The sequence below is a fragment of the Homo sapiens genome, chromosome 6, assembly GCF_000001405.40.
Source record: "Homo sapiens chromosome 6, GRCh38.p14 Primary Assembly".
Lineage (NCBI taxonomy): Eukaryota > Metazoa > Chordata > Mammalia > Primates > Hominidae > Homo > Homo sapiens.
In genome coordinates, this window is record NC_000006.12 from 116,599,296 (window position 1) to 116,608,449 (window position 9,154).

Here is a 9,154-nt window from a genome sequence, read left to right on the forward strand (position 1 = left end):
TGGTCAAATTGCATTTAGTCAAATTGTTTTCAGCCAAACCTTATGCGCACATGCTAGCCAGTGGGATGATAAGAGACAAGAGATGTAGTCTGTCTTCTTGAGGTATTCTCATATTTCCGGGCACATAAATACAGTATTGAATGAAAACTTACAGGATGCTCCAGGGTCACAAAGGAGGGACATCTAAGTTAACCTGGGATTGGGATGGCCCAATGAGTCTTCTCAAAAGAAGTGCTTGAAATGACCAGTTGGAGGGCAGGAGCTGTGTTTTATTTGACTTTATATTTACTGCTTTGTAGATAATCTATACTAAATAATTATTGGATGAAATAATCATTGAAATCTGAAATAATTATTCATGTAGTAATTTATTGGATGAATAAATGAAATCAAGTTGAAGATGCATGGGAACATATTTAAACTGTTGTATCTTGGGATTTAAGCTGGATGAAAAAATAAGTCAAAGGAAGCATTTATGTGGGGAGAAATGGAAGCTACATATCTCTTTAAAATCAAAGATTATTCCTAATGGAAAATAAGGAAAAGAGAAAATTTGAATTCTGGGAGACTTAGGTTTCTGAGAAGTTCTTTCAGATAATGACAATTCAAGAGTGGTTCTTTGAGGTAGGAGATGGCTGAAGTGGGGCAAAAATAATAGTTATTTAATGATATTAATAAGTTATGAGGTTAGAATGTTGAGGACAGGTTATATAGAGGACATTGAAACTGCCAAAGATATGGTAACTCAGATATGTTAGTTGGTCTTAACTCAAAAGGTAAAAAGACAGTCATAATCTTATATTCCTGTAATTTGCACCAGATTTAAAATATAGAATACTGAGCTCAAAGACTCAGAAATGGTTTATTTTGATTAGATGCTTCCCAAATGGCATTAATATTTAAAGAGAAAAAAACAAAAAGAAAAGAAAAATAAAATCCCAACAAAACTTAGGTTTTTCAAGACACAAGACTATTGCGGCTAAAACTGTACAAAAAAGATAAAAAAAAATTTTCTACACTTTTATTGGAAAGATGAATTGCATGTGCAGGTGGCAAGATGAATTGTGTGTGCAGGTGACCTAGCCCAGGTAGTGGTCTTAGTGTGAATGCTTATGCTAAATATGTCCCTAGAAATAAAAACATCTAGACTTCTTAAATATACTGGATTAAAATGATCCTGAATTAATTCATCTAAACATTAAGATAACTGGCTTTTCTACTTCAAACACAATTTTGCATAGAAGATCTTTCAATACTGAAGCAAAGAAGTGGCCTTGGGACTCTCTAAGGGTAGAAATCTGGGATAAAAATGTGTGTGTGAGTGTGTGTGTGTGTGTGTGTGTGTGTGTGTGTGTGGTCAGAATGTGGAGTTCAAGCCACTGCATCTGCAGTGCGGAAGAAAGGAAGTGAGTTGGGTTGGGAATGCACCTAATCCCCTCCAGTATTAAAAGGTGGAAAAATGCCAGTGAAAATTCAAGGTTCAAGATTATTGCAAAGGTGGGTAGGGTTATTAAATCACATATTTAAATAACAGTGCAGTGCAGAGCCATATTGGAGCCTGAAGCAAAGGAAAAATTTGTGTTATTTAACATTTTGATGTTCATTTTGTACATCACAGATTTTACATTAATTTTGATTTTTATAAATATTGTGTTAAAATATTATTTCTTTTGATTAGTGAGTTTTAGTGCCTCCTTAAAGTTTGCACCTGAGACCAATGCCTCACTCATCTCACCATAGTCCTCAGCAGATCAAGAAGGCTTTCAGGTTCCCTGACCTCCATCTCCAAGACCATTAGGCAGAAAGGCCTGTAAATTGAACCACATGGGGTTTCAGGCAAGGGAGGCTTCATTGCTGAAATGATAGTGCTCAATGGATGAATAAAATGAAGCCATGTTATTGCTGGCCCCAAACATGGTTAAATGAACTATCTGTATGATAAAAGGACCTGGAAATCACTGGAATGTGGGCTGTTGCTACATGCCCAAGACATTGAAAAATAGGTTATTGATTTTGGTCACATCCAGTCAAAACATATCTAAATGTGGTAGAATCATGAAATTAAATTGAATTATACTCCATATATGGTGGTTTTGTTTATATGATGGAACTTAGGCTGTTTTGAAAATACAGATCTAGAACATGTTTCACCTATACTTTTGGGATAAAGTTTTTTGGAAACCTTCTTGATCACTCTTGATATTATTTGGGATACATTTTCTGATGTTTAAATTTTGTTTTTAAGATGTCAGATGGATTAATCTCTAAAGTTCCTTGTAAGAAGCTAGGATCTGTTACTAAAGTTGTTTACAAGATAATTATTTTCCTTTTAAAAGGTAAAGCCATGAAAATAATGTCAAAGGAGAGAGTTAGGCAGATCTTCAAAGGTATGCATTTAATGTGTTGTTCCTTTCCTTGCTACTATCAGCTAATTTTATGGGATTCTATTTGAGATAGGAAGTATCTCTGTGCATGTGTACTTTTTATATAGGAGGGTTGGGGTTTTCTCTTTCTGACATTGACACTCAACTGATAATGAACCTCCACACTTTGAGCCAGCCCCAGGGAGCTTGAGCACAAGAGAAAAAAAGATAGTGAAGATTTAATATTTAAATCTTAATATTTTAGTTCATCACTGATATTTGACACATTGCTTAGTATGAAGATATATAATACGTTGATCGGACTTGTGAAAAAATGGTGAGAATTGGAATAATAGGCTCTTTAACTGTGGAAGCTTGAAAAAAATTCTTGAACCCCTGATTCTCAATTTCCTCATCTGTAAAATTAGGATAATAATACTTCCTTAACATAAATAACTTAGAAAAATTGATCAACATGTTCCAAATTGGTCACTTACCAGGGAAGGAAGTTTTTCAAGAGATTTTGTCTATAAATCCCTTATCTTTCACATTTCACCTATTCCACTTACCCTACACAATTAACTTACAGTGAAGAAGTATAATCCTTCTTTTTGCCATTATTTAAAAATATATATATATATAAATTCAAGAAAAGAAATAAAAGAATATTTTGATATGCAGACTGTACCTCCCTCAGCTACAACTGCATAAATGCTGTCATGCATTCACATCTGTGGCAACAAAACGTTCTCAATTTAGAACAATTCTGAAGGGTATCCCAGCTCCTTAGCTCCCTATTCAAATTTACCTGTTGTCTCTGTTGCAACTACATTGTAGTTCAACTTTTCACTCTGCCCAATCATGCTTCTTTGATTTCCTCACAGACTGTTCCTAAGAGTACTTGATCTTCATGTAAATCTTAGACTATTTCCTGGGGGAGCCAAAACTAAAACATCTTATAAAATTATTTAAATCACCAAGGTGACTCAGTGGCAGCAGAGCAGTAGATCAGAACTAGCTAAGGGCACAGTTTGGAAGGATGAGTCTTGAGCTAGTGCCTTTGGCTAGTGCCCATAGACCCCAACTCTTGCTAGAGAAAGTGATTCTAGGTGGGCCTTGGAAATGTGTGGGAGCACATACCTATACAGCAGCACCTCACTCTACCAGCACCAATTTACTGTGTTAGTCCATTGTCACACTGCTGATAAAGACATTACTGAGACTGGGTAATTTATAAAGAAAAATAGGTTTAATGGACTCACAGTTCCACGTGGCTGGCGAGGCCTCATAATCATGATGGAAGGTGAAAGGCACGTCTCACATGGCAGCAGACAAGAGAAGAGAATGAGAGCCAAGCAAATGGGGTTTCCCCTTATAAAACCAACAGATCTCTTGAGATTTATTTGCTAGCACAAGAACAGTTTGGGGAAAACTGCCCCCACGATTCAATTATCTCTCCCTGGGTCCCTCCCACAACACAAGGGAATTATGGGAGCTACAATTCAAGATGAGATTTGGATGGGGACACAGCCAAACTATGTCACTAATATACCTCATGAAATAGCTAACAAAATATTAGCAAATGGAATCTAGCTATTTAAAGGATTATTCAGGATGATTAAGTGCAATGAATCACATGAATACAAAGTTGGTCTAAACATCCAAAAATTACTTTTATGAAATACACAATACAATGAAGAAAATATAATAGCATCATATTAGGCAAAGAAAAGTTACTTGACCAAATCAAAACTCAATTTTGATATAAAATTCTCAGCAAATTAAGATAGAAAGGTACTTTGTAAACCTGATAAAGAAGATCTACAAAAAACCTACAGATAACATCACACATAATAGAGAAAGACTAAATGCTTTCCTCTCAAAGTAGGGAACAAGGTAAGGATCATTCCTATCATTTTTATTTAACATTAGGTTTTACCCAGTGCAATAAATAAAATAAATAGAAAATAAAGGCAGCCAGTTTAGAAAGGAAGGAATAAAACTCTCTTTATTCTCAAAAACTTAATATTGTATTCTCAAGATGTTTACAAAAACAATTCTAGAAATCTTAGTAAGATCATGAGGTACAAGAATATTATATTTCTATATAATGATAAAAACAAATTAAGACAAAATGCAATTTGCACTTAGCACCAAAAAATAAAACATGTAAGAATAAACTTAACAAAAGAAATGCAAGATCTTTACACAACAAAATGTAAAACATTAGTGAGAGAATTTAGAGGATCAAAATAAATAGGAAGATTCATCAAGACCAGGTGTATTAGTCTATTCTCATGATGCTGGTAAAGACATACCCAAGAAGGGGAGATTTACAAAAGAAAGAGGTTTAATGGACTTAAACAGTTTCACGTGGCTGGGGAAGCCTCACAATCATGGTGGAAGTCAAGGAGGAGCAAATCATGTCTTACATGGATGGCAGCAGGCAAAGAGATCTCGTTAGACATATTTACTATCATGAGAACAGCATGGGAAAGTCCCGCCCCCATGATTCAATTACCCCCAACCAGTTTCCTCCCACAACATGTAGGAATTGTGGGAGTTACAATTCAAGATGAGGTTTGGGTGGGGACACAGCCAAACCATATCATTCTGCCCCTGGCCCCTCCCAAATCTCATGCCCTCACATTTCAAACCCAATCATCCCTTCCTAACAGTCCTCCAAAGTCTTAACTCATTTCAACATTAACTTAAAAGTCTATAATCCAAAGTCTCATCTGAGACAAGGCAAGTCCTTTCCACCCATGAGCCTGTAAAATCAAAAGGAAGTTAGTTACTTCCTACATATAGTGGAGGTATAGGAATTGGGTAAATATAGCCATTCCAAATGGGAGACATTGGCCAAAACAAAGGGGCTATAGGCCCCACACAGGTTCAAAATCCAGTAGGGCAGTCAAATCTTAAAGCCCCAAAATGATCTCCTTTGACTCCATATACAAATGGCCAACAATCATATGAAAAAATCCTCAATATCACTAATTATCAGGGAAATGCAAATGAAAACCACAATGAGATACCATCTTACTCCCACAAGAATGGCCATAATCAAAAAATCAAAAAATAATAGATGTTGGCATGGATGTATTGAAAAAATGAACACTTCTACACTGCTGGTGGGAATGTAAACTAGTATAACCACCATGGAAAACAATGTGGAGATTCCTTAAATAACTAAAAGTAGAAATACCATTTGATCCAGCAATCCCACTACTGGGTATCTACTCAGAGGAAAAGAAGTCATACAAAAAAGATACTTGCACACTCACGTTTATAGCAGCACAATTTGCAATTGCAAAATGTGGAACCAGCCCAAATGCCCATCAATCAACAAGTGGATAAAGAAACACACACAATGGAATACTACTCAGCCATAAAAAGGAATGAATTAATGGCATTCGCAGCAACCTGGACGTAATTGGAGACTATTATTCTAAGTGATGTAACTCAGGAACAGAAAACCAAACATATGATCTCACTCATAAGTGGGAGCTAAGTTCTGATGATGCAAAGGCATAAGAAGGATAAAATAGACTCTGGGGACTCAGGGGAAAGGGTGGGAAGGGGGTGAGGGATAAAAGTCTACAAATTGGGTCCAGTGTATACTGCTTGGGTGGTAGTGCTCCAAAATCTCACAAATCACCACTAAAGAACTTAACCAATTACCACCTGTGCCCCAAAAGCCTATGAAAATAAATTTAAAAAAAATTGGGATAAACAGTAAAGAGCATATTTAACAGCCATCTACTGGGCTGAAAAACTACAGACTGCAGGTGCCATAGAAGTTCCACACCCGTGATACCACTGCCCTTTCTGGGGATCCCCCATGCTTGAGCCACTTTGTTACTGGAAAGCAGTCCCAAGCCAGACGCCAAGAGAAGGTTCTTGAAACTTTCACAAGAAAGAATTCAGTGTGAGTCCATAAAGCAAAGTGAAAGATAGTTAATTAAGAAAATAAGAGAATAAAAGAATGGGTACTTCATAGGCAGAGCGGTGGCATGGGCTGCTCGACTGAATATACTTCTAGTTATTTCTTGATTATATGCTAAACAAGGGGTGGATTATTTATGAGTTTTCTGGGAAAGGAGCAGAGATTTTCCAGAACTGAGAGCTCCTCCTCTCTTTAGACTATATAAGGTAACTTCCAGACATTGTCATGGTTTTTGTAAACTGTTATGGTGCTGGTGATAGTGTCTTTTAGCATAATGCATTATAATTAGCGTATAAGGAGCGATGAGGACAACCAGAGATCACTTGCATCGCCATCTTGGTTTTGGTGGGTTTTGACCGGTTGCTATACCACATCCTGTTTTATCAGCAAAGTCTTTGTGACCTGTACCTTGTACTGACTTCCCATCTCATCCTGTGACTAAGAATGTCTAGCCTCCTAGGAATACAGCCCAGTAGGTCTCAGCCTTATTCTACCCAGCCGCTATTCAAGATGGAGTCACTCTGGTTTGAAAGCCTCTGACAACTGCATCACCAGATCACACACAGAAAAACCCCATAGTTCCCTCTGACTTCGGCAAGCACAGAGAACTGGTGGGTCCAGGTAGTAATGGATTGCCTGGTGACTACCCTTTGGTGCTGACTGCCCCTAAGGGAATACAGAAAGCACAGCTTGCCAAAGCCCCCTTTAGGACAAAGGAAACATGAGTCTAAGTGCCAGTAGCTGAAAGGGACACCAGCAAGGCCAAGGAATGGATTTGGAGAGAGAGTCATGTCTTGTCTTCCACCACTCCTCACCAGAACACTGCTTCAGATGCACTAAAGTAAAAACGGGCAAATACGGTGAGTAAGAGCCTATCTTACGGTGAGTAAGAGCCTATCTGCTGGCTCTCACTATTAAGTGCTACCAACTGGAAGGCAGCCTGAATTGTATCACGAAACAAAATTACATTGCTACAACAAGCAACATCTTAGAAAGCCACTGCATGAACCTAACTGCAAACAAGGAACCTATACAGAGCCTTGGCACCCTAAAAGCATCTAGAAATCAAGCCAATTGATCAGACATCATATACACCACTGTTGTATCCCTAAGGGGACAAAGATTTAAAAATAAAGAAAATCCATCCAAATGATAGCAAATTAAAAAAGAGAGAAGAATCAGCTATTTCAGATGAGAAAAAACTAGTGCAAGAACTCTGGACATAAAAAAGCCAGAGCATTTTATCACCTCCAAAGAACCCCACTAGCTCCCAAGCAATGGATCCTAAAAAAGGAAATGTCAGAAATGACAGACATAGAATTCAGAATATGGATGGCCAAAAAAACTCAACCAGATTCAAGAGAAAAATTAAATCCAACAAAAATAACCTAGAAAAATGATCCAAGTTTTGAAAGATGACATACGTTTATTAAGAAAGAACTAAGCAGAATTTCTGGAATTGAAAAATTTATGACAGAAATTTCAAATTACAGTTGGAAGCCTTAACAACAGACCAGACCATGCAGAAAAAAGAATTTCTCAGTTCAAAGACCATTCCTTCAAGTCAACCCAGTCAGACAAAAATAAAGAAAAAATATTTAAAAAAATCAACAAAGCCTTTAAGAAATACGGAATTATGTAAAACAATCAATCTTGTGATTCACTGGCATTCATGAGAGAGAAGACAATGTAAGCAACTTGGAAAACATATTTAAGGATATAGTCTATGAAATTTCCCCAAGCTTGCTAGAGAATTCAATAATACACAAAAAATTCAGAGAACTCCTGTGAGATATTACACAAGATGACAAACCTGAAAGCATATAGTCATCAGATTTTCTAAAGTGAACATGAAAGAAACAAACTTAAAGGCAGCTAAAGAAAAGAGCCATATCACCTATAAAGGGATGTCCATCAGTCTAACAGCAGACTTCACAACAGAAATTGTACAAGTCGGAAGAGATTGTGGGCCTGTTTGTAGCAATCTTAAAGAAAATAAAGTCCAACTAAAAATTTCATATTCCACCAAACTAAGCTTCATAAATGAAGCAAAAATAAAGTCTTTCCCAGGTAAGCAATCACTAGCGGAATCTGTTACTACCAGACCAGCCATATAAGAGATGCTGAGAGTTCTAAACACAGAAATGAAGGAACAATATCTGCTACCACCAAAACATATATAAGTACAACGCCCACAGATGCAACAAAGCAACCACACAATGGAGATTACAAAGCAACAGCTAACAACACCATAACCTCACATAAAAGTACTAACCTTCAATGTAAACACTCAAAACACTCCACTTAAAAGACACAGACTAGCAAATTGTATTTAGAAAACAATATCCAGGTCAGGCGCAGTGGTTCACACCTATTATCCCAGCACTTTGGGAGGCGGAGTTGGGCGGATCATGAGGTCAGGAGTTGGAGACCAGCCCGGCCAATATAGTGAAACCCCATCTCTACTAAAAATGCAAACAAATTAGCCAAGTGTGATGGCGGGTGCCTGTAGTCCCAGCTATTTGGGAGTCTGAGGCAGGAGAACTGCTTGAACCCAGGGGGAGGCGGAGGTTGCAGTGAGCCGAGATCGCACCACTGCACTCCAGCCTGGGCAACACAGCAAGACTCCATCTCAAAAAAAGAAAAACAAGATCCAAACTTCTGCTGTCTTCACAAGACCCATCTCACATGGAATGACACTCACAGGCTCAAGGTAAAGGGATGAAGAAACTAGCACACAAATGAAAACCAAAAAAAAAAAAAAAGCAGGATCCCTTTTCTTTATTTTTTATTTATTTATTTTTTTTTTTTGAGACAGAGTCTCACTCTGTTGCCCAGGCTG